Source organism: Homo sapiens, chromosome 3 (genome assembly GCF_000001405.40).
Source record: "Homo sapiens chromosome 3, GRCh38.p14 Primary Assembly".
Lineage (NCBI taxonomy): Eukaryota > Metazoa > Chordata > Mammalia > Primates > Hominidae > Homo > Homo sapiens.
The window spans coordinates 42,731,515-42,754,235 of record NC_000003.12 but is presented as its reverse complement, the minus strand read 5'-3'; the positions used below and the strand labels follow the sequence as shown (position 1 = coordinate 42,754,235).

At 50.4% G+C, this 22,721-nt stretch overlaps 1 protein-coding gene and 1 long non-coding RNA gene across 10 annotated transcripts in view, besides 7 other annotated features; one reads left to right on the top strand and one right to left on the bottom strand.

The window, feature by feature from the left end:
- Nucleotides 1-22,721, top strand: part of CCDC13 (coiled-coil domain containing 13) — a 69,136-nt gene that overhangs the window by 19,018 nt on the left and 27,397 nt on the right. For 3 of the 9 annotated variants that reach the window (XR_940385.1, XM_005264898.4, NM_144719.4), the window contains exons 4-12: nucleotides 1,519-1,661; nucleotides 2,211-2,300; nucleotides 6,863-6,979; nucleotides 8,209-8,313; nucleotides 11,179-11,340; nucleotides 14,426-14,602; nucleotides 18,323-18,529; nucleotides 20,627-20,766; nucleotides 21,266-21,349. Coding sequence is in view for 8 of the 9 variants with exons in the window: in XM_005264898.4 (XP_005264955.1) it covers nucleotides 1,519-1,661; nucleotides 2,211-2,300; nucleotides 6,863-6,979; nucleotides 8,209-8,313; nucleotides 11,179-11,340; nucleotides 14,426-14,602; nucleotides 18,323-18,529; nucleotides 20,627-20,766; nucleotides 21,266-21,349 (1,225 nt within the window). In the remaining variant the exon portion in view is untranslated. The other 6 variants (XM_011533418.3, XM_005264899.5, XM_011533420.2 and 3 more) reach the window with 6 other exon arrangements.
- Nucleotides 6,557-7,057: an enhancer, noted in NCBI's record as "H3K4me1 hESC enhancer chr3:42788671-42789171 (GRCh37/hg19 assembly coordinates)". NCBI's record gives its function as "activates a minimal SCP1, AML or CMV promoter by ChIP-STARR-seq in naive H9 embryonic stem cells {active_cell/tissue: H9 hESC(naive)}" and the evidence as "EXISTENCE:reporter gene assay evidence [ECO:0000049][PMID:30033119]".
- Nucleotides 7,058-7,558: an enhancer, noted in NCBI's record as "H3K4me1 hESC enhancer chr3:42788170-42788670 (GRCh37/hg19 assembly coordinates)". NCBI's record gives its function as "activates a minimal SCP1, AML or CMV promoter by ChIP-STARR-seq in naive H9 embryonic stem cells {active_cell/tissue: H9 hESC(naive)}" and the evidence as "EXISTENCE:reporter gene assay evidence [ECO:0000049][PMID:30033119]".
- CCDC13-AS1 (CCDC13 antisense RNA 1) lies at nucleotides 9,078-21,661 on the bottom strand. Its single transcript, NR_046732.1, has 4 exons — nucleotides 21,578-21,661; nucleotides 13,149-13,261; nucleotides 11,170-11,310; nucleotides 9,078-9,293 (listed from the first exon to the last, which is right to left on the bottom strand). It is a non-coding gene; the product is annotated as a CCDC13 antisense RNA 1 (long non-coding RNA).
- Nucleotides 17,688-18,373: an enhancer, noted in NCBI's record as "NANOG-H3K4me1 hESC enhancer chr3:42777355-42778040 (GRCh37/hg19 assembly coordinates)". NCBI's record gives its function as "activates a minimal SCP1, AML or CMV promoter by ChIP-STARR-seq in naive H9 embryonic stem cells {active_cell/tissue: H9 hESC(naive)}" and the evidence as "EXISTENCE:reporter gene assay evidence [ECO:0000049][PMID:30033119]".
- Nucleotides 19,746-20,429: an enhancer, noted in NCBI's record as "OCT4-NANOG-H3K27ac-H3K4me1 hESC enhancer chr3:42775299-42775982 (GRCh37/hg19 assembly coordinates)". NCBI's record gives its function as "activates a minimal SCP1, AML or CMV promoter by ChIP-STARR-seq in naive H9 embryonic stem cells {active_cell/tissue: H9 hESC(naive)}" and the evidence as "EXISTENCE:reporter gene assay evidence [ECO:0000049][PMID:30033119]".
- Nucleotides 20,430-21,115: an enhancer, noted in NCBI's record as "OCT4-NANOG-H3K27ac-H3K4me1 hESC enhancer chr3:42774613-42775298 (GRCh37/hg19 assembly coordinates)". NCBI's record gives its function as "activates a minimal SCP1, AML or CMV promoter by ChIP-STARR-seq in naive H9 embryonic stem cells {active_cell/tissue: H9 hESC(naive)}" and the evidence as "EXISTENCE:reporter gene assay evidence [ECO:0000049][PMID:30033119]".
- Nucleotides 21,645-21,939: an enhancer, noted in NCBI's record as "tiled region #2509; HepG2 Activating DNase matched - State 5:Enh". NCBI's record gives its function as "activates a minimal TATA promoter and a strong SV40 promoter by Sharpr-MPRA in HepG2 cells {active_cell/tissue: HepG2}" and the evidence as "EXISTENCE:reporter gene assay evidence [ECO:0000049][PMID:27701403]".
- Nucleotides 21,645-21,939: a silencer, noted in NCBI's record as "tiled region #2509; K562 Repressive non-DNase unmatched - State 22:ReprW". NCBI's record gives its function as "weakly represses a minimal TATA promoter and a strong SV40 promoter by Sharpr-MPRA in K562 cells {active_cell/tissue: K562}" and the evidence as "EXISTENCE:reporter gene assay evidence [ECO:0000049][PMID:27701403]".

Here is a 22,721-nt window from a genome sequence, read left to right as displayed (position 1 = left end):
AGCCTGGGCTGAGGTGATTTGAAAGCCATAAAGTGCCTGTTTGCTTTCCACCAGTTGTCACCCTTCTTCTTGTTCTGAGGCATATGATGGTCATGTTAAAAAGCAGGACTAAAAAATAGGACTGCCAGTTACTCCCTGCTATGGTGTCAGAAGTGTTCAGGAAACTTGCAGACCATCTGACCACCTCTGCCATTGCACAGATAGGGGAGCTGCACTCCAGAGAGGGCAAGGGACTGTCAGGGCTACCCACCTAGTCGATGACGATGCTGGACTAGCTCCCGGTGCCTGCCTTCCACACAGCTCCCATACCATACAACTTCCCCATTCACATCCTCCAGCCACCTTCCACAGCCTCCTTCCTTTGCCCACTGCAAGTAGCCTTCCAGCTACTCTGGAGTCCTTGATGGTCCTCAGATACTCTAAGCACATTCCACCTCCAGACCTCTGTACTTGCCATTTCCTCTGCTTAGAATGTTCTTCCTAGGTGAGAGCACTCTTCATGGTTTGAGCCCTCAGTTCATTCACTCAGGTCTCTCTTCACACATCACCTCCTCAGAGAGCCTTTCCTGGCCACTCCATCTAAAATAGCATCATCTCCCTCGTTCTTACCCCCTTGCCCAGCTCCAGTGTATTTCCTAGCACTTATTCCTGCTACATATTAGAATACATATTTATTTCTTTGATGTTTTAAATTATCTGTCTTCCCTACTTGAATGTAAACCCCATAAGTCTTTTTTATCCACCACTGAATCCCTAACACCAAGAGGACCCAGCACTTGGTAGAAAATAAATATTTGCTAAATGAATGTATGCCTTTCTATTGGGTAGGCGTTACCACCAAATTCTAAGAAACAACCACATAATCTCAGCAGCAGTAAGCATTTATTTAGCTTAAACATCTGGGGGTTGGTTGGGGATTGGCCGATCTAGGCCAGGCTTGGCTAGATTGGTTCCACTTTGTTCAACATGTCTCTCTTCTATTCTTGAGACCAGCCAGCCAGGTATGTTCTTCCTGTGGAGAGGGCATAAGCAAACACAGCGAATTTAACTGCACGAGTGCTTTTCAAGCCTCTACCTTATCTGCACCTTATCTGTTAACATGCTATTGGCCAAAGCAAGCCAAATGGTTGAGCCCAGAGTCATAGAAGGCCCAAGGGGACTACATCCTGCTCATTAGAGGGCACAGCAAAATTACTGGGATATGGATGTAATCCTATCACTGAGGATTACATGAAGCATCGGAGTGATAAACCTGAGTCTCACAGAATTAAAACTCTGCTTTCTGTTTTTATCATTTTCCTAGAACATACTGAACCTCTGAGTGGCTGCATTTCCACTCATTGGAGTTGGGTCCCAGGGCTGCTAGGTATATGGTGACCCTCCTAAGTTAGTGCCCCTTTATGAGCATTCATGCCAAGCAGCTTTAGCTTTTAAGACCCTGGTGCTGTTAGTGGTGGAGCATGAGTTTGATGTGTATGCCTGTGTTTTTAATTGACCTCACCATTCCTTTCATTTTAGGGACAGCCGGTGTAGCCGGAGACGTGGTCGCCACCAAAATTGTGGAGCTATCAAAAAAGAACCGGCTGTTGATGGCAGAATCAGAGGGTGCAAAAACCAGGGTGAAGCAGCTGACCAATCGCATCCAGGAGCTGGAGCGGGAAGTGAGGGGCCTTGGTCATTCTCCCTCTGGAGGGGACTCCTAGCATGGGCAAGAGGGAACCTCCCTAGCTTCTCCATATGTAGCCGGGAGAGCTGAAGTTGGAAGGTTAAGAGGCTTTCTCAAGTCACGCAGTATATGGTGGTGCTGCATTTTAAATCCAATTCTGTTGCCCTCCAACAGGCTTCTTGGTGTCTCTGGCCTCATCTGTTCATCTGTAACCTGAAATCCATCATTCTTTTTTGCCCCGCCTCCTAGACTATTGTTGGAACTTCAGGAGACAGATTATAAGTGTACCATTATTATTTATTAAGCTGTTAGTAAACCCTTGGGCTACTTTTATAGTACGATTAGGGAATGGGTCAGACAATCAATTAAACCCTCTCCATTCCAGAGCGGTTTCTAAAGGAGAATGCTGCCATTAATGATCCTAAAGTGAGCTAAAAGGACACACCACCAAGATAGGTAACCACACACACAATGGCACCAGAGTGCTTTCCTTGGGCTGCACAATCGCTGAGCAGAGTATTAAGCACGAGGTTTGCTTTTTCAGCTGCAGACAGCCCTGACCAGGCTGTCAGCCAAGGGGGCCACCGACGCAGGAGCCAAGCCACCGAGGGCCCAGATGGGAGACAGAGCATTGGTATGAATTCTCTTCTGTGCTGGGAAGTCTGTGAGGCAGCCATGGGCCTGGGCCTCCCCTCCTCCACAGGTGTGTAGGTACCTCTACCCGAGGTCCACCCCCAACCCCCAACCCCGCTGCCGAGCCAGGTGCCCATTGTCTACCATTGCTGCATCCTCAGAGCAGACATCAGAGAACAGTACCGAGTGTATGGCCTGAGGCCAAGAATGTCGTGTCGGAAGCTATGGAGGGTGTAGCTCCAACTCTGTCTCCAGAAAGGAAGGCTGGGAGGAGCCTGAGAACCCTGGAACACTAGAGCCTGAGGATCAAGAGGGAAGGCCTGGTCCAACTGACCTCCCACTGTCAGCCCAGCCATCTCCTGTACAGCATCCTCACTGGGGACACATCCAGACTCCACCTTACTCCAGGGACAGGGAGCTCACTACTGCCCAGTGGAATCCTGTTCTTTATGGGGCAGTTCATATTATGAACACTTTCCCTTTCGTGGGGCTCCAAATCTACAGAGTAAAAGTGGCTATTGGAAATGGGGACTTATTCCCCAGAGCCCATTTTACTAAACCAGTGACAGTTCATGAAACTCAAGAGGTGGGAATTGCAGCTCCATGAAAGGAAGTCAGTCTGACCTAGTGGGTTGGTTTATCCCCAAATCAGATAGTAAATATCATCAGAGTCTAACATTCCAGGAGGCTTCACCAAGGGTTTTCTTGGGAAGCCAGGCCAGTTGGTGAGAGAGGCAGCCAAGCCCCGGGACTCCCAATTTGGTGCTTGTTTTCTAGCCCCATCTTCCCTGCTGCCTGCACCTCAGGATCAGACTGCCCTGTGCCTTCCTTGAGGATAATTCAGTCCTCGCTGTGCAGTGATGGGCCCCTCAGGTTCCGGCGGGGATGGGCCCTCAGGTTCCGAGGTGAATGTGCCTCCTCAAGAGTAGTCTTGTGTAAACCTGTCTCATTGCTGGGGAAGTAGAAGAGGGGCTCTGCCCTCTACAGGGGCTGAGTATTCTTCAGGGCCTTTCCTGGCTTCAGGGGACACTGCTAAGCTGCCCCTGGTTTATTCCACGCATTGAGCACCTCCACATTCCGAACTAGGGCTGCCCTGGATAGGAAACTGCTTGTTCAGCCTGATGGGATTTTCTAAGCCCTGTGGCACAGAGAATCAAAAATAGAGCCTTGACCGGGTGAGGTGGCTCATGCCCGTAATCCCAGCACTTTGGGAGGCTGAGGCTGATGGATCACTTGAGGCCAGGAGTTCGAGACCAGCCTGGCCAACATGGTGAAACACCATCTCTAGTAAAAATACAACAATTAGCCAGGCATGGTGGCGAACGCCTGTAATCCCAGCTACTCAGGAGGCTGAGGCATGAGAATCGCTTGAACCTGGGAGGCAGAGGTTGCAGTGAGCTGAGATAGCGCCACTGCACTCCAGCCTGGGTGACAGAGTGAGACTGTGTCTCAAAACAAACAAACAAACAACTACAACAACCACCAAAAAAACAGAGGCTCTGTCTATGGAGAATCCCAGAGGAGGAATGAGAAGTCATTCGAAGGCAGGATGTGGACAGGGCCTTCAGAGATGGCCCCGGTGCTCTAAGCTCACAGGGGAGTCCACCCTCCATTAAGGTTGCAGCTGGAAGGTGGGACGGAGGAGGGCGTCCCTGAGCTGGCCTTACTGGAGAAGGAAGATGGGGAAGGTGAACTGAGTGTCAGCTGGATAACATTTGACTGCAGCCCAGAGCTCACACGGGAGAAAAGGGGAACGAAAGCCAAAAAAGCTGGGGTGAAGTCACCCATAGAGGGAGCCCTTGAATGGCAGCTGGAGCAGGAGTTTTGACTTTATTCTGTGGCCACAGGGAGCCTGGGAGGTTCCAGGTTCTGAGAGAAGAGTGTGTGATGGGCCGCAGGTCTCAATTCATCAGCACCACGTGTTCTCCCTGGCATCTCCTGATCAGAGCGAGAGCAAAAGCAATGTTTCCCCTCATAGGCTGCTCAGGGCGGCCCAAGCCCGAGCCACACTCCAGAGGCCTGCAGGCTCAATCCACATTCCAACCCTAGGCCTCCAAAGCACATTCCAGAGTGGAGCTGAACACCCTTCCCTCTGCTTGGGGCTTCAGGAGGCCGTGATGTGAGTAGCGTTGGCATCATCTGCTCCCCATGTACTGCGCTTTAGTTATTTTCTCAAAGAAAACAGCCTCGGGTAGGGGAGGGAGCGTACCCATACCCAGGTCCCCCACAAAGCCTGTGGAATTTCACTCTGGGAAGAAAGAACTCTGAAATGGCTTAGAGGTAGGATTAGCTCAACTGCCTAAGCTAGGAGGACGGGGCCTGATCCAGCCCTCTCCAGAACACCATCTAGCCCTCAGCCCACTTGTCAGCTGCCCACTCAAGCCAGGCTAGGCCTGCCAGCATTGCCCTCCATCAGGACCTGCCCCAGACAGCACCCTTGACATGCGTTGTCCTAGCAACCCTCTCAGGTTCCCTGGAGATTGGCATTACATATCCCCATTTTACAGATGAGAAAATGAGGCTTGGACAGGGCATCACTGCCCAGGTTCTAGAGCCAGATCCAATCTGTATGCTTTTTCCATGCTCTGAGCAGATCAAAGAGATGCTGCAGGGTCACTGCAGCCATATGGAAGCACATGTACTCCCACAGCTCTCAGCACCCCCACTGTCAGGGCCACTGGGGCTCATGGCGCTAGAGATCTGACAGGCAGGGCGGGGCGTGGCAGGGGGTGGAGGGGTGTTGCTTCCCAACCCAGGGCAGATTCAAAGCCACACATTCAACAGGAGAAGAGGCAGGCACCCAACAGAGTATGCAGGGATGGCAGGCGGCCAGACAGGAGGAAGAACACAGAAGAAAATATACTTTAAAAAAAAGGATGGCCGGGCACGGTGGCTCACATCTGTAATCCCAGCACTTTGGGAGGCCAAGGCAGGTGGATCACCTGAGGTCTGGAGTTCAAGACCAGCCTGGCTAACATGGTGAAACCCCATCTCTACTAAAAAATATACAAAAATTAGCCAGGCATGGTGGTGGGCACCTGTAATCCCAGCTACTCGGGAGGCTGAGGCAGGAGAATCGCTTCAACCCGGGGGGGCGGAGGTTGCAGTGAGCTGAGATTATGTTTCATATAAGTTCCGAGTTGGCACATTCTGTTCACGTTGGCTGTTCTCTTTAGCCTGATGGTGGTGCTCTGAGGAAGCGGAGCAGGAAAGTATTTGTATACTCATTCCATAGATGAGGACACTGGATGAGGCCAGAGTTTCTGGACCAGGTGTTCATGTCTAGTTTCTTTGGCCAGTGGTTTTCAGCTGGGCTGCCCAGAGCCTCTGGGGTCCATGGAACTTCCCGGACCCAGTATACTTGGATCTGTCTTTCACACTAGCATTCAGAGGAGATTTTGTTTGTGCCTGCTAGAGAAAGGTCAGAAAGCCACTGTAGTACCAGCCCTGCTTCCTGAAGTTCAGCTGCTTTGCCCTGTTGGGGCAGCAGCAGAGGGCCTCAGCGTCATTGCCTGATGGGATGCTCAGCCTGACAACCAACGTTCCTGTGGCCACAATGCCCAGCATTAACAGCAGCTTAAATTGGAAGAGTCAGCCAGGGCAGGGGAAGGACAAGTATTCTTTCTCATCCCACCTGTGTCACCCCAACCAGCTGTATGCCTGAAGGCAAATTACCTCCCCTCTCTGGGCCTTATTTTCATCATTATGGAAGGGGTTTAAATGGGCTGACCTTGAAGGTCCCTTTGTCAAATATCTATGAGTCACAGGAGTGTCTATTGAAGACAGAGAAGTAGTCAGCCCATTTAAGAAAAATTTCCATCCAGATAGTTTAAATAAAACATTGGGTTAAAAAAAAAAAAGACATTGCTAAGAGTTTCAGCAGGCAGTTTTCATGGTTGCTGTAGTTCTTCAAGCCACAGAGATGAGCATTTGGAAATTAAAATGGGTCCTTATTTCTATTCAGTGGTCACTGCTAGGAAAGAGAGCCCAAGGCCCCTCAGCTGTCAAAAGACCAAGGCCCAAGCTGACGATTCTGGGAGAGGCAGATCCTGAATTAGGATGCCATGGCTCTCCTGCCACGCTGGGCTTGCCTTCGGGGAATAACGTGGTTTCCTCTTTATTCTGAGTGAAGATGGATTAGCTGTGATGCCAGTCTCTGAGCACAGCAGTGGGTCCACACCCAGGAAGTGTCTGGGAGGCGTGGAGCCTGCCGCTTCCTCCAGATGCTTCACCTCTAGGGTAAGGCATACACCCACATGTGTGTGTGCAACACTCTGCAAAAAGCTCAGTCCCAAAGTTAAGCTGCCAGGATTCAAATCCAGGTTCCACCTTTATTAACCAGGTAGCTCAAGTAGAGGACTTACCTTCCACCACCCTCCATTTTGCATCTATAAGGGGCTTACAAGAGAACCTACCTCACAGGGGTTTATGAGGATTAAATGAGTTCTTCCATGTCAAACACTTAGCACAGTGCCTGGCACAGACTTGGATAAATGGGGGCTATGATTACTATTCCCATGTAGGCAATAAATGACTACTTTCTCTCCTGTCCTTCCCAACCAGCTGGAGACCCCAGAGGTGAAGGCCCTGCAGGACAGGCTGGTGGCCACCAACTTGAAGATGAGTGACCTCCGAAACCAGATCCAGTCTGTGAAGCAGGAGCTGCGGATGGCACAGAAGGTCTTTCAGAGCCAGGGCTTGGGGCTTCTTGTGTGGCTGGGGCTGGACTTGGGAAGAGCACGGCTGGCACAGTGGATTCCTTTCTGGAGCCATGAGTGCTCAGTCCCTTGAGCACACTGCTTGCTCTGGGTCAGGCTCCAGTTCCAGTCCTTCCTCCCACCAGCCCTTGGTCCATAACCATTTGGTGGGCAGAGTCGCTGGCTACCTGAGCCTGCCACCCCCACCCCCGCAGCATACCTGCCCTTGTGGTGCCTGCCCAGCTCTAGACTGAGGAGGACAGCACTGTCCACCCAGGGAGAGTCCATTAAGCCTTCCCTGCACTACTTGTGCCCCAGTAGATCCTGGGTCTCCCCTTAATGTCACCCTTACTTAACTTGAAAGCCTGCCAACACCTGCCTTCTTCTCTGCTATCTGTAACAGAAAATGAATAGGTTACTTGTGTATTAAAGGACCCTTTCAAAGGAAAATGCTCAGACTTGGGACACAGGCCCAGCTGGTTCGTTATTTATTTTTATTTACATAGCGAATTCTCTGGCATTTGTCTTCCCTGCTGGAACCACTCAGACTGGCCAAGATTTCCAAAACAGTGTTCTATTGTGGAAACAAGTGCCAGAGACTTGGTACGCTGGATCGGGTTTCTGTGACAGGCTTCAGAGGGGCCCAGGTCACAAGCTGGAGCGTATTGTTTCTGCCTCAAAGCCTTGAGGTTGGGCCTGAGTGCTGCACTTCAACAACCGCAAAGCTGGGTCCTTCTTGGACCACAGCACCCCAACTGACATTCAGTAGCCCACCTTTTGCTGCACTCAGAGGTCCACTTGTCCGTGGGTTTTCACAAAGGCTAGGGTCCTGTGGTGATGTACTTCCTATAGCCAGAATTAGCTCAGCACTAGGTGACAGGTGAGTGGGTTAAGGAAGCAGGAGTTGGTCAGCTTTGTGGTTCAGTCATCCCAGAATATGTCAAGAGCAAGGGGCCCTATCTGGGCATTGCTGGCAGTTTCTTGGCTGCTCTAAGCATTGCCAAGAAATGCCAGGGATGATGGGTTTACTACTTTCCCAGGGAGAGCTGCCCTTGGGACATGGAAAACTGACCTTTGAGGGCTATGCTCTGAGATGGGAAGAAGATCGTGTAGGTGAAGACTGCTTCTGAATATGCTTCTAAATACGTAGCAGCATCAGGGTCTGGTGGAGCCCTCTCTTTTGGCCACATTGAAGGCCCTGCCTTATTTCAGGTTTTGGCCAGAGAGGTTGGGGAAGACATCAACGTTCAGCAGCTCCTATCTTCGCCAGGGACCTGGAGGGGTCGGGCTCAACAAATTCTTGTTTTGCAGAGCAAGGTGAGTGAGTCATCAGACTTCTCCTGGCCTGAACAAAGGATTTAAAACACCCCAGAAAGAGCTGCCCTGACCCCCTTAGAGACCTAAGCACACAGTACCCAAAAAAGGCCTTTAGGTCTCACAGTGCACTCGTGCGGGGTTGTTGTTTTACCTTCTCGCCAACCAGCCTGATTTTAATTTGTTATTTAATGAACAAGCTCTTATATAACACTTAGCACATGCCAGGCACTGGAGCTTAACAAATGCCAACGCCTTTGGTTTGATTTATTTTACTCCAGGCATCTTTTTTTTTTCTTAGTTTATGTAGATTTGCGTGACTGTTGTAATTGTAAGCTTTTTCCAGTTTTGTCCAGATGCTTGTAGTCTTTTGAAAGTTTAATTACCCAATAAAAATTTAGCCTTGTCTCCCTCTTTATTGTCTGAATATTTTGGAGCATACCAAAAGCAGCTAACAGCAGGGGCTCTGGAGCCACACTGCTCAGATTCAAATCCCAGCTCTCCACTCACCAGCTGTGTGACCTTAAGCAAGTTCCTTTAGCTCTGTGCCTCAGTTTCCTCATCTGTATAATGGGGATAATAACGATGCCTACCCCACAGGATTGTTGGGAGAATTGAGTCAATACTTGTAAAATGCTCAGCACAGGGCCTGGCATGGAGGAAGCACTGTATAAAAGTTAGGTGTGGTTCTTTTCCCTTTGTCCCTTCAAACTGAGAAACATGTGAGAAGGTGTATGACTTCCACCATTTGCCAAGCATATCACCCTTGTTCCCAGGGACTTCGAGGGTCACAGTGGCTTTTATCTTCAGTGTCTCCCATGGGATCCTTGAAGCCAATATAAAGGGGGAAAAACTCCAAGAAGCTAATAGATGATAGTGCATGGCCTTGGGGTTCAAGAGACCTGAGTTTACGTTTGGCCACCGGTCTGCCAACTCTGACCTTGGGCAAACCCCTTCATCTTCCTATGTCTTCATCTTCACACCTGTGAAATGGGGTAACATAAAATAACATTTGTAAAGCACCTAGGACAGTGCCTGACCATAATAAGCACAAAACAACTTACTTCTTATTGTCATTAAGTTACATGTCAAATTCTTTTTTTTTTTTTTTTTTTTTTTTTGAGACGGAGTCTCGCTCTATCACCCAGGCTGGAGTGCAGTGGTGCGATCTCGGCTCACTGCAAGCTCCGCCTCCCGGGTTCACGCCATTCTCCTGCCTCAGCCTCCTGAGTAGCTGAGACTACATTTGCCCGCCACCACGCCCGGCTAATTTTTTGTATTTTTAGTAGAGACGAGGTTTCACTGTGTTAGCCAGGATGGTCTCGATCTCCTGACCTCGTGATCCGCCCACCTCGGCTTGCCAAAGTGCTGGGATTACAGGCATGAGCCACCACGCCCGGCCCTGTATGTCAAATTCTTAAAGGTAACAGTATTCTTTAATGATTAAATGGAATTGCCTCACAGCGCCACACGAGGGCACTGGTGGGTGCCTTCAAAGCTGTGCTCCTGCCCTTTGCCAGGGAGCCTAGCGAATTGTGCTTCCTTTCCTGGCTCAAGTTTACCAACATTGTTTTGTCATTTGGTTGTGTTGATAGGGAAACCAGGGTCAGAAGGACCCTAGGAGTTGTCTGCTTCTACCCTAGCGTTATAAGGGTGATAAGGGCATTGTTCTGTGGGATGACATCTACCTGCCACTTGCTGAAGGCCCACATGTGCCAGGCTGTGTTGACAGCTTCACCTAGACCATCTTGGGATTTTGCAAAGTTACCTAATCCTAAAAATAACCTGTAGCATTTAAAATGCAGATTCCATGTCCCTTCCGCTAGAACTGTAGTTTGTTGATCTGGAGTAAGCACCAAGATTTCAGTCCAAGAAGAACCTCAGAGGATTCCCAGGCTCAGACAACTTCACAATACTGAATCCTCATAACAGTGTTACGCAGGGCAGTGTTACTCTTAGGCCCATCTTACAGATGAGGGAACTGAGATTCAGAGAGTTACCTGTGCGCAGTCACACAATCTGTGAGGCTTTGAGGCAGTCTGTTTCCAAACCCTGCCTTCCCCTCTTCAGTATCTCCTGTAAGTGACTGCCATCTTCCGAGAAGCCCACCCAGTCTTAGGTGGTCTGTCTGTTAGAAAGTTCCTCCTTGCCCAGCACTTTGGGAGGCTGAGGTGGGCAGATCTCTCGAGCCCAGGAGTTCAAGTTCAAGACCAGCCTGGGCAACATGGTGAAACCCCGTCTCTACCAAATTTTATATATATATATATTTATATTTATATATTTATGTGTGTGTGTGTATATGTGTATATATATATGTGTGTGTGTATATATATATATAAAATTATCCAGGCACAGTTGCCTGTGCCTGTGGTCCCAGCTGCTTAGGAGGCTGAGCTGGGAGGATTGCTTGAGCCCGGGAGGCAGAGGTTACAGTGAGCCATGATTGCACCACTGCACTCCAGTCGGGGCAACAGAGCAAGACCCTGTCTCTAAAATAAATAAATAAATAAATAAATAAATAAATAAATAAATAAATAAATATTCTTTCTTGAACTGAGACCTGCCATCCTATCCATCCCTGGTTCCTGGGGCCATAGGTCTGCTTTCCAGCCTCAAACAGCCCCTCAGAGATAGGGTGATTTTTCTCATTCACCATTTTTCTAAGCTGAACTTTCCTGGTGTCTTCCAATGTGTTGCTCAAGATGCCAGCTCAGATTGTCCCCCACCCCTAGTCCTCCTCAGATGGGGCTACCACAGCCATCTAGAGAGGTGGTTCCATCTTCAGTCTGTGGGGTCTCCTATCACACTTCTGAGTAGAAGAGGCTGGCAGAAGACCCATTGTGGAACGACGAGTTTTACCATCCTCAGGTTCAAGAGCTTGAGAAGCAATTGGGCCAGGCCCGGAGCCAGTCTGCGGGAACAGCCAGTGATGAGTTGTCTGTCTATCCAGACCCAAGGAAGCTGTCGGCACAGGAGAAAAACCTGCTGAGGATCCGCAGCCTGGAAAGGGAAAAACAGGAAGGCTTGGAGGTAACGCGTGCCTGAGGAGGTCAGCTGGGCATGTGGGAACGAGAGATCATGATGGTGCCTGCAAGGGCTCTGAGGCACATGTGGTCAGAAGTCTGAGCCACCCCTTCTAGGCAGGAGACACCTGGGGACCTGGGTCACCTCTGCATGTTCCTCATGTCCTGTCAAACCAACTTGAGCTGCCTGACTGGGACCTCACTGTGAGCCCATTTAATGAACTTTTCGTGGCCCCATCCTGGCTGTTTTGGAGGTGCTATACCTGAAATTCTCATTGTAAAAGGGAGAGGGGGAGGGTCATGGCCCCAGAAGTATGATAGGGTTAGATGGGGCTTAAAGGGGGAAAGTTCCAGGCTGATGAAAGAGGTAGGCAGGCTGGACTCAACACCAGGGGCCGCATCTCACTGGCTGCGTTGGGAGTGTCAGAACTCTAACTCTACCAGGTTTAAGCAACAAAGGGAAGTCATTGGCCCATGTAAACGAACAATCCAGAGGTGGCCTAGCTTCAGGTGCAGATCGGGGCCTTGCTCTCAGCACCTTCTCCTGGGTTGGCTTCACTCTCTTCCACAAGGACCCTGGGTAGTCCCAGCTTCTCTCCTCCAATGCAGCCTCTACAGACAAAGGGTTTCTCTTTCCCAATAGTTCCAACAAAGTCCCAGAATTGAGTGTCTTTGGTCTAGCCTGGGTTATGTGACCATCCTTGAGCCCATCACTGTAGCCAAGAGTACAGGGTGTTTTGATTGGTCAAGCTTCAGACACCTGCCCCAAGGTTTGAGGGGATGAGTTAGCCTCCCCAAACTTGCAATGAGAGTAGGGAGTAGGGGCCACTTTAAAGAAGGTAACAGAAGCAGCATGAAGAGGTGCAGGCAGGCCATACAACAGGCCCACGTAGTGGCCCTGGCAGTGAGCTACCTAACAGTGAGGACTTGCCTTTTCATCTGGAGACTTTTGCCTGTGAGCACCAACGCTGGGTTAGGCCCTGTGTTAGGAATGCTGTAACCATGACCACATTGCACCTCCCAGCGCTGTAGACCATCAGCTGTGAGGAGGGAAACAGTGAGACCACAGAAGTGGACAGGGCCTGCTGGGCTTTGTATGCCAGCCAGGACTTTTGGCCTGTATCTTGAAGGCTGTGGAGAACCACCAAACGGTTTTTGTTTTTTTTTAGATAGAGTCTCGCTCTGTTGCCCAGGCTGGAGTGCAATGGTGTGATCTTGGCTTACTGCAACCTCCGCCTCCGGGGTTCAAGTGATTCTCCTGCCTCAGCCTCCCAAGTAGCTGGGATTACAGGCACCTGCCACCATGCCCGGCTAATTTTTATATATTTAGTAGAGACAGGGTTTCACTGTGTTGGTCAGGCTGGTCTCAAATTCCTAACGTCAGGTGATCCACCTGCCTCGGCCTCACAAAGTGCTGGGATTACAGGTGTGAGCCATTCGCCGAGCCCACGACAGGGTTTTAATTTGTGGAGGGAGGTGGTCAGCTGTGCATTTTGGAAAGGTCACATGGTTGGAGCAAGAGGAGGAATGGGTTGGAAGAGGAATGGAAGGCAGAATAGTAATCCTGGAGACATGACCAAAGATCTTTGCCAAGATAGTGGACTGTCATGGAAGGGCCAGACACCTGGGACAGTGAGGACAGACTTTCTAGGGCTCAAGGACTGATTGGACTTGGAAGAGAGATGAGGAGGAAGAGTTATAAAGGACTTCTAGGGAGTATAGTGGGTGGGTAAGGGAGACAGGGTGGGTTCAAGAAGAGAAAGGGAGTTGAGATTTGGAAATGCTGGGTTTGAAATGCACCTAGCTTGAACTTACATGTTAGTGCAGAACAGATTATGTTGAACAGTTGGGCTGACCATAAGCTGCAATAGCGGGTGGAAGGAAACAGCTTCCTGCATGCATTCCCTCTGGCAGGCACCCATAAGAGCCTGGAGTGTGTAGGCAGGAGAGCAACAGGTGAGTAATGGCTGCCTCCCTGCAAAGGGCTTGTGTCCTATAGATTCATGTTTTACTTGTTTTGCATTTCTATAATTCACTTCATCAAGGATATGAAAATACTTTTCCAGCAACAATTCACCCTCAGGATCAAGCAGGTGATGTCACCCACTGCCCAAGCTCCTCCCCAATGTCTCCATCTTGTCTTTATGGGTTTGCCTAATCTAACCTCTGCCCCTTCACTCACTGTGCTCCAGCCACACACCTTCTACCCCAGGGCCTTTGCTCTTCCCTTCATCTCCTTCAGTCTCTGCTCAGATGCCACCTTTTCAGAAAGGCCTTACCTGACCATATCCTTCTCGCTATTCCTGTTTCCTACTTTCAAATTAGCATTTGTCACTATTTGACATTATCTGTCTCCTCCATTAGGATTATCAGCTCCTTGAGGACAAGGACTGTTTTGCTTTTTGCTGTCCCCCAGCATCTATAACAATACTAAGCCCATAGTAGGCCCTCAGGAAACCATAGTAGGAAACCTCAGGAAACCCATAGTAGGCCCTCAGGAAACCCTCGAGAATGAAGGGATGATTGAATGAGAGACTCCGAAGATGTGTGCTGCATGTGAGTTTCCAGTTGGTAGCTGACAAAGCAAGGTGCTGTCAGGGGTTGTGCCAAATAATCATGGAGGAAGTGGGAGAAAAGACCCTCCTTTCTCATTCTAGCTCCTGGTGGTGCAAGGTGCTGCAGTTGGAACCTAGCCCAGCACTCTTTTTCTAAAGTATGGCTTTTCTCTTTTCCCCTGCTTGGGGAGGGGCTTAGGGGTAGGACTGGCTGTGCTCTCTGGAGGACACACGCAGTTGGCTGGCGGCTTTCCTCTCATGTGCTAGGAAGTCTGTGTCTCAGGCTGAGGTTAGGAGTGCTGTCATGGGTTAGTGCTGTCATGTGCTAGGGGAAGGGTGGGAGGCTGCTGGCCACCTGATATCCCTGAGAGGCCTGGGCTGGGAGTCAGGGCCCTGGCTCTAGTGACTTGCTCTGTGGCATTCAACAAGCACCCCCACCCCCAGCCCCGGGCCTTGCCATTGAGTAGGAGCCAGGGAGCAGATGTGGCCAAGGTCCCACACAGCCCTGCTGCCCATGCCCTCACTTTCTAATTACAGAAACTTGCCAGTGAACGGGATGTCCTCCAGAGAGAGCTTGAAGAGCTAAAAAAGAAGTTCGAGGGCATGAGGTCTCGGAACAAGCTGCTGTCAAGTGAGATGAAGACCCTCAAGAGTCAGATGGGAACCCTGGTGGAGAAGGGCCGGCATGATGACGAGCTCATCGACGCCCTCATGGTATGGCCCCACCACTCAGGCAGGGCGAGAGCCAGGGGTGGTTCCTCAAAGGATGGGCCCCAGCCATGGCCAGAGTGAGCCCTCACTCACCCCTCAATGCCACCTGTGTAACCCCAAAGCCCGTTGCCTCCAGATGGCCCCCAGTACCAAAGCCCTGCCCCAGGGACAGGAGCAGCTCAGGGAGGCTGCCTGAGGGCAGGTAGGGGGCTGTGATGGAGCAGCACCAGGCACAAGGCACTGGGCCTATGGACCCCAAAAGAGACAGAAATGTATTGGGGGAAGGAGGTGGGATTATACCCTGGGTTATTTTTCAGCAAGGAATGAAAGGGACAAGAGGAGCCAGTACCAGTTCTTATCTCTGCAGTGGCACAGAACCCTTCCTCTTCTGGGCATGTTATAATGCTTAGTCCCTAAGATAACTTCTAGGATCATATATTTTAATCCCACTTCACAGATGGGGAAACTAAGACTCAAATTCATTAGATAACTCATCTAAGACCATACAACTGAGTTCAAAGCAGGTTTATCTGACTATAAAAACTTCCTGGATTAAACGTATCTCAAAATAATAAGAGCTATTTATGACAAACCCACAGCCAATATCATACTGAATGGGCAAAAACTGGAAGCATTCCCTTTGAAAACCAGCACAGGACAAGGATGCCCTCTCTCACCACTCCTATTCAACATAGTGTTGGAAGTTCTGGCCAGGGCGATCAGGCAAGAGAAAGAAATAAAGGGTATTCAAATAGGAAATGAGGAAGTCAAATTGTTCCTGTTTGCAGATGACATGATTGTATATTTAGAAAACCCCATCATCTCAGCCCAAAATCTCCTTAAGCTGATAAGCAACTTCAGGAGTCTCAGGATACAAAATCAATGTGCAAAAATCCCAAGCATTCCTATACACCAGTAACAGACAAACAGAGAGTCAAATCATGAGTGAACTCCCATTCACAACTGCTTCAAAGAGAATAAAATACCTAGGAATCCAACTTAAAAGGGATGTGAAGAACCTCTTCAAGAAGAACTACAAACCACTGCTCAATGAAATAAAAGAGGACACAAACAAATGGAAGAATATTCCATGCTCATGGGTAGGAAGAGTCAATATCATGAAAATGGCCATACTGCCCAAAGTAATTTATAGATTCAGTGCCATCCCCATCAAGCTACCAATGACTTTCTTCACAGAATTGGAAAAAACTACTTTAAAGTTCATATGGAATCAAAAAAGAGCCCACATTGCCAAGACAATCCTAAGCAAAAAGAACAAAGCTGGAGGGATCATAGTACCTGACTTCAAACTATACTACAAGGCTACAGTAACCAAAACAGCATGGTACTGGTACCAAAACAGATATATAGACCAATGGAACAGAACAGAGGCCTCAGAAATAACACCACACATCTACAACCATCTGATCTTTGACAAACCTGACAAAAACAAGAAATGGGGGAAGGATTCCCTATTTAATAAGTGGTGCTGGGAAAACTGGCTAGCCATATGTAGAAAGCTGAAACTGGATCCCTTCCTTACACCTTATACAAAAATTAATTCAAGATGGATTAAAGATTTAAATGTTAGACCTAAGACCATAAAAACCCTAGAAGAAAAGCTAGGAAATACCATTCAGGACATAGGCATGGGCAAGGACTTCATGACTAAAACACCAAAAGCAATGGCAGCAAAAGCCAAAATAGACAAATGGGATCTAATTAAACTAAAGAGCTTCTGCATGGCAAAAGAAACTACCATCAGAGTGAACAGGCAACCTAAAGAATGGGATAAAATTTTTGCAATCTACCCATCTGACAAAGGGCTAATATCCAGAATCTACAAAGAACTCAAACAAATTTACAAGAAAAAAACAACCCCATCAAAAAGTGGGCGAAGGATATGAACAGACGCTTCTCAAAAGAAGACATCTGTGCAGCCAACAGACACTTGAAAAAATGCTCATCATCACTGGCCATCAGAGAAATGCAAATCAAAACCACAATGAGATACCATCTCACACCAGTTAGAAGGGCAATCATTAAAAAGTCAGGAAACAACAGGTGCTGGAGAGGATGTGGAGAAATAGGAATGCTTTTACACTGTTGGTGGGACTGTGAATTAGTTCAACCATTGTGGAAGACAGTGTGGCGATTCCTCAAGGATCTAGAACTAGAAATACCATTTGATCCAGCAATCCCATTACTGGGTATATACCCAAAGGATTATAAATCATGCTACTATAAAGACGCATGCACACGTATGTTTACTGCGGCACTATCCACAATAGCAAAGACTTGGAACCAACCCAAATGTCCATCAGTAATAGACTGGATTAAGAAAATGTGGCACATGTACACCATGGAATAATATGCAGCCATAAAAAAGGATGAGTTCATGTCCTTTGCAGGGATATGGATGAAGCTGGAAACCATCATTCTCAGCAAACTATCACAAGGACAGAAAACCAAACACCGCATGTTCTCACTCATAGGTGGGAATTGAACAATGAGATCACTTGGACACAGGGCGGGGAACATCACACACCAGGGCCTGTCGGTGGGTGGGGGGCTGGGGGAGGGATAGCATTAGGAGAAATACCTAATGTAAATGATGAGTTGATGGGTGCAGCAAACCAACATGGCATATGTATACCTATGTATCAAACCTGCACGTTGTGCACATGTACCCTACAACTTATGTATAAAACAACAACAACAACAAAAACAAAAACTTCCTTGATTAGTAAGGCCATACTGCTTTCCTAACCCTACAGCTTGGACTTTTCTCTGTGGGACCCGAGGCACCAAAGTTTGGTGTCAGATTCCAAGTTGTGCCTGCAGGCCCGGGGCGGGTGATCATGTCTGGCTTGGCTGGGGTGTTTGGGGGGTGCTGGCTCAGGCACCTACCTTAGTTCATGATCACTTTACATGATAGGGTGGTGAGCGGGGCACAGAAGACCAGAAATCTAGGCCTGCCTCTGTCAGTATCTCACTGTGTGACCATAGGCCAGTCGCATCCCCTCTGAGGCTCAGCAGCCAGTTTTAAAAATAAGTCGCAGGGCTGGATGTCCTCTGAGGTCCCTGCATGTCACCATTCTTTGTCATTGAAAGTGGCATGATGAGAGCTGCAAACTAGTCCCAGTCATGCTATTCACCAGCAATATGCCCTTGGACTCTCTGGGCCTCAGTTTCCTCCACTCTGAGGTGAAGACAACAGCCCCCACCTGTTCCAAATCACTGACATTGTCCTTTCTGTTGGCCCTAGGCAGGAAGCCTTTGCCCAGGAGTCTCCTTGAGGGCTTTTCCTTGGGATGAGGCTTCAGTCAGGTGCTAATGGATCCCTGGCAGGGGTCCAGGTACTGCCTCCAAGGGCAGTCTCCCAGCCAAGCAGGATCAGGCTTTTCTTTTAGCTAAATATCTCCCCCACCGGGTGAGGAGTCACCATCTGATCTACTTTCTGTTGTCTGAGAGCCCCTTGGATCTTCTTGGCCCCAAACTCAGAGAAGGAAGTTGAGGACAGGAAAAGAACATGGTCCCCACCTGCCTGATTCAACATCCCCTGATGGCAGGCAAGGAAGGTGTTCCTGCCTCTCGAGGGAACAGGATCCCACTGTTAGGTTCCTGCAGCCTGCTTTGGGGTGAGGGAGGCAGTCTGTTCTTGTCCTCCCCGGCCCAAAGGGCCATGACTGACTCCACCTGCCCTCCTGCCTGGCCCCCCAGGACCAGCTGAAGCAGCTACAGGAGATCCTAGGCAGCCTGAGTCTGCAGGAGGAGAAAACGCGAGTGTCCCAGCACCACCTGGACCAGCAACTGAACAGCGAGGCTCAGCGGAGCAACAGCCTAGTCGCCCAGCTGCAGGCCATGGTAGCTGAGCGGGAGGCCAAAGTGCGACAGCTGGAGATGGAGATCGGACAACTCAATGTGCACGTGAGTAGGGCACTGGCAGCGCCCAAACCCATTTTCAAGCCGGGCAAGTCCATCCAGCTCCTTCCACTTCTTTCCACTTGCCTTAGCTCAGGCCAGACTTCATCCTTCCTGGCTCCACTTTGGCCACCTGCTTCTATCTGGCTCCCCAACCCATTCTGCACACAAACCTGATTGTGTCCTTGCTCTACTTAAAATCTGTTCATGGCTTACTGTCACCCTCGACCTCACCTGGTTCTCAAGGACCCAGGCACCTTCCAGTTTACCCTCTCCCATCCCCAGCTGTGGCCTTATCCTCAGGATTCAAGATGGTGGCAGTAGCTCCAGCAGCAGGATGAGAGAAGGAAAGCCACACTTCATTCAGCTTCTAGGCACCATGTGACTAACTCTTGCTGCCACCCCTCCTGCATCTTCTCTTCACCCCTCCCCTTTCCCTACACTCTGCTACCCAGGCACCATTCAGCTCCTGCTTGCTCCGCACTCCAGGGCTACGCGCAGCGTGAAGCACACTCCCTCCCCTCCTCCCCCACGGCCTCGGTCTGGCCGGCTGCCCCTCAGCCTTTAGGTCTTACCTAGTCAGGAGCTCCTCCAGGAAGCCCCAGGACCCCTGTTCTGTGTTGTGTTCCCCTCCTAGGCACTCTCCTAACTCCCTATGCATCCCCAAACCAAACTTCTCTCACGCTGTGTAGTCATTTTCCTGTTTTCTCCCCTGCACTCTCTGTAAGGGAGCACAGACCGTGGTGCCTCAGTGCCTGGCACTGGAGCAAGCACACAGTAGATGCTCAATAAATGCTTGTCTAAGGCATGAGCTTGTAAAGATATTTTGTCTTGGCAGGTGCCTTGAGGGCACAGCTTGGGGCTGCTAGGAGTCAGGCACCTTCACCTCCCTGGGGTGGTGGTGGGGCTGGGTGGTGTCCTTGGGGAGAATTTCTTGACAGGCATGCAGGTCTCCCAGTGACAAAGGAGCCTTGCAGCCTCTGGCCCACTGGGAAATTGACTGGCTCAGCCAAAGGCATGTTGCAAAGCAGCCCTGCTCTTTGTTTCTGGGGATCCGTGGTTTGTTCAGAGGTGAGAGCCCAAGAGCCCCTCGGCCCTGCCTCAGTCTGGCATTGGCTGACCAGCCTGGTTTGTCCTGTAGCCTCTATTCCCACAGGCCAGGGTAGCCTGGGGCCCCAGGACTGGCTGTGACATAGTGCTGTGAGGCTGAAGGGGAGCCTGGGGGCACAAGGAAGTCTGGGAACAGAGCACATACGGCAGTGAATGGGGACTCACCCTGCTCCCCATCCTGGCTCACTGGGGAGGGAAGTCTGAAGGGGAAGATTCCAGCATCTTCACCTCACCACTGTCCTTTCTCCAGGCACACAGGAGAAGACTGTTCCTACCTCCGAGGTCACCAGCTGAATGGGGGCCAAGCATTACCCACCAGACTTAAGTCGGCACACGTTTCGAGTTTTCTCAAAATGGGTGGGGCTGGGGGACAAGCCAGGTTGTTAGGGGCTTACACCGGTTGTCCACTCTGGTGGCCTGACCTCCTGCTGGGGGTCCTCTAATGTTCCTGTCCAGTCCAGCCCCAGCAGGTATCCAGAAGAGGAAGGGGTTGAGGGAGGGGTGGGGGCCTGGCAGGCTTAGCCTCCACCCAAGGCTGCCTGCCCTCACTGAGTCCCTGCCAGCCTCTCTGGCTGCAGGTGTCTGGAAGGTCCAGGTGTTCCAGCTGAGGAAGGCAGCTGGCCTCAAGTCACACCTGGTGTTCAACCACATGTGGGTGGGGCCGCCTGGAGAAGCGGACCCACTCAGAGACGTCAGTCTCTGACCTGCCCCGCATGCAGGGCCGTGCACCTCCCTCTGGAACCTGAATGTAGAACAGCTTCCTGGCCCAGTCACCGTCCTCACACCATGTAGCTTTCTTTCTGAAGAGAGGCATTATTAGATGTCATTATCATGCAAGTAGTGCCTTCACCAAACAGGCCTCGCTTTTCACTCCTGAAAAGAAGCCTCTTTCATATCCTCTGAAAGCCCCGAAATCAAGCCAAGATCCCCTCCTGCCTTCTCTAGGCCTCTGAGCCAAAGCCCTGAGGATGGAACCCACATCTGTTCCTACAGTATCTTCGGAATAAAGGAGTGGGTGAGGGGTCCAGTGGCCGCGAGGTCAGCCCTGCCTATACCCAGTTCCTGGAGGACCCAGGCCTGACCAAGTCCCCGGCCTCAGCAGGCGATCATGTTGGCAGGCTTGGATCTTCTCGGTAAGAAAACAATGGGAGGGAGGGGTTGGAAAGTGAACATTAATTATTCGGAAGAAAGGTTGTTTCTTGCTACCTCTGATGGGAAGCCACAGGTGCAATTTTAAGATGACTATGCTGTTGTTCTTCCAATACGTGGGCCTCTCCTATGACATTAGCTCTGCGTCTGCAGAAATGAGCCGGTTAGGCCCAGATTTTATCACTTCAAGAGCATGCTGGTTGCAGCTCTCTGTAAGAGCCTTTCTGAGCTGGCCTCAAAAGTTTTCTGCCCCTGGGGCCTTCAAACAGACCCGTGTTGGGTTGTTCAAGGCTCTGGTGTCTCCTGTTCTGTCTCATTTTGAGCAAACAAGAGTTCTGGAAAGAAGGGCAGCAAATCCACAGGACTGCTGCAAGGGTTTCCTGGACCCCTGCTGGCCACTGCTCCACCTCACATGCAGAGGTGAGGCCCAGTAGGGCCTGGTCTGCCTTCCCAGGCTGATGGGCCCCTTCCGCCTTTACACAGCTCTGTGACCAGCCTGGGCCACACACTGGTGGAATCTGCTCTCACGAGGCCTTCCCTGCCCAGTCCCCACAGGACCTCACCTAGGTATGGACCCCCGACCCCCGGACTCTCACAGTTTTTTCCCATTCTTGATTGCTCAACCAGTATTGCCATCCCATTAAAAGGAGGGGAAACTGAGGCCAGGCAAAGTCCAGGGACTCTTCCAAGGTTACATAAAGACAGGGAGGATCAGGGAAGTCCTGTCCAAGATGATAGAGTAAGCAGCTTCAGAACTAGAATCTTGGCCTCTGACTCCCAGGCTAGGGTTCCTACCTGCTACGTGAGAATTAACCTGAGGAACCTTCCTGGGCCTGGCTTCTAGCACCTTCCCTCATCTTCTCTTGCTCATTGAGAATCAGCCTCTAAGGGGAGAATTTCACATGATATGGGTTCCCACTGATATCCCCTCAGACCTTGGGCCCCCTCTTTGTTGACAGAATCAAGCCAGAGGGTGTAAATGGGCCCTTTGTTCCTACTGCCAGCCCATAGACAAAGGACAGCGTTGTCCTGCCTCTAAGCCCTGTCCCGAGCCCTGCCCACTGTCCACTGGAGCCATGCTCCTGCTGTCAACACTCCCCACCCTGACCCCTCAGGCAGGTCAGCTCAGGTTCCAGGCAAAGCCTCCAAGTGGCCCCAGTCCCTCATCTCTGTGGCTCCAGGCAAACTGGTCCTTCTCTGGGCTGCTATCCCCGAAAAGTGGGGGACAGCATGCTGCTGACACTTGGCAGCATAGGGTCTGTGGGCCAAAGCTGCCCCACCCATCAGGCTGGGGTCATAAAGGCACTTGGGGAGAGTGGGCTGACACTGAGCCACAAGGCATGTGCCACGCTCCTTAGGGTGGGAGGTCTTGTCACAGCACAGGGAGATTGGGGAGGCTCTGCCTCTCTGAGGTTTTAGTCACAGTAAAGAGAGCAGGAAGATGGACAAGATGACCCCTTCGAGCCCCTTCCAGGCCTGTGTGGCTGTGACCTCTGTGCCACACAGAAATACAGGAGCTGCTCTGTGCCTTGGCTGCCCAGACTGCTGGTTGTCAGGCTTGTTTCTTCCACAACACACAAATACTTACTAAACTCGACCATGTGTGGGCCCTACCCTCATGGAGCTTACAGTCCCCTCCCACAGGTGACAGGACAGGAATTCACAGGGCAGAGTGATCCCAGAGAGTATGTCTATTCGGGCTGGCATGGTTTGAACCCATTCCCTTCAGGTGACTCTGGTGGGGTGCCTGGGAGGAGGGCAGAGTGAAGAATCGGCCCTTTGCTCCTGCTCCTCCTCTTCCCACATTCTAGAACTGGGGAAATGAATGGGGCTTTCCAAACTGCAGTGCACACACAGAGCCCCTGCTGATCAGCCAGGTCAAGTGTGGGTTCTGATTCAGCAGGTCTGGGGTAAAGCCTGGGATTCTGCATTTCTAACA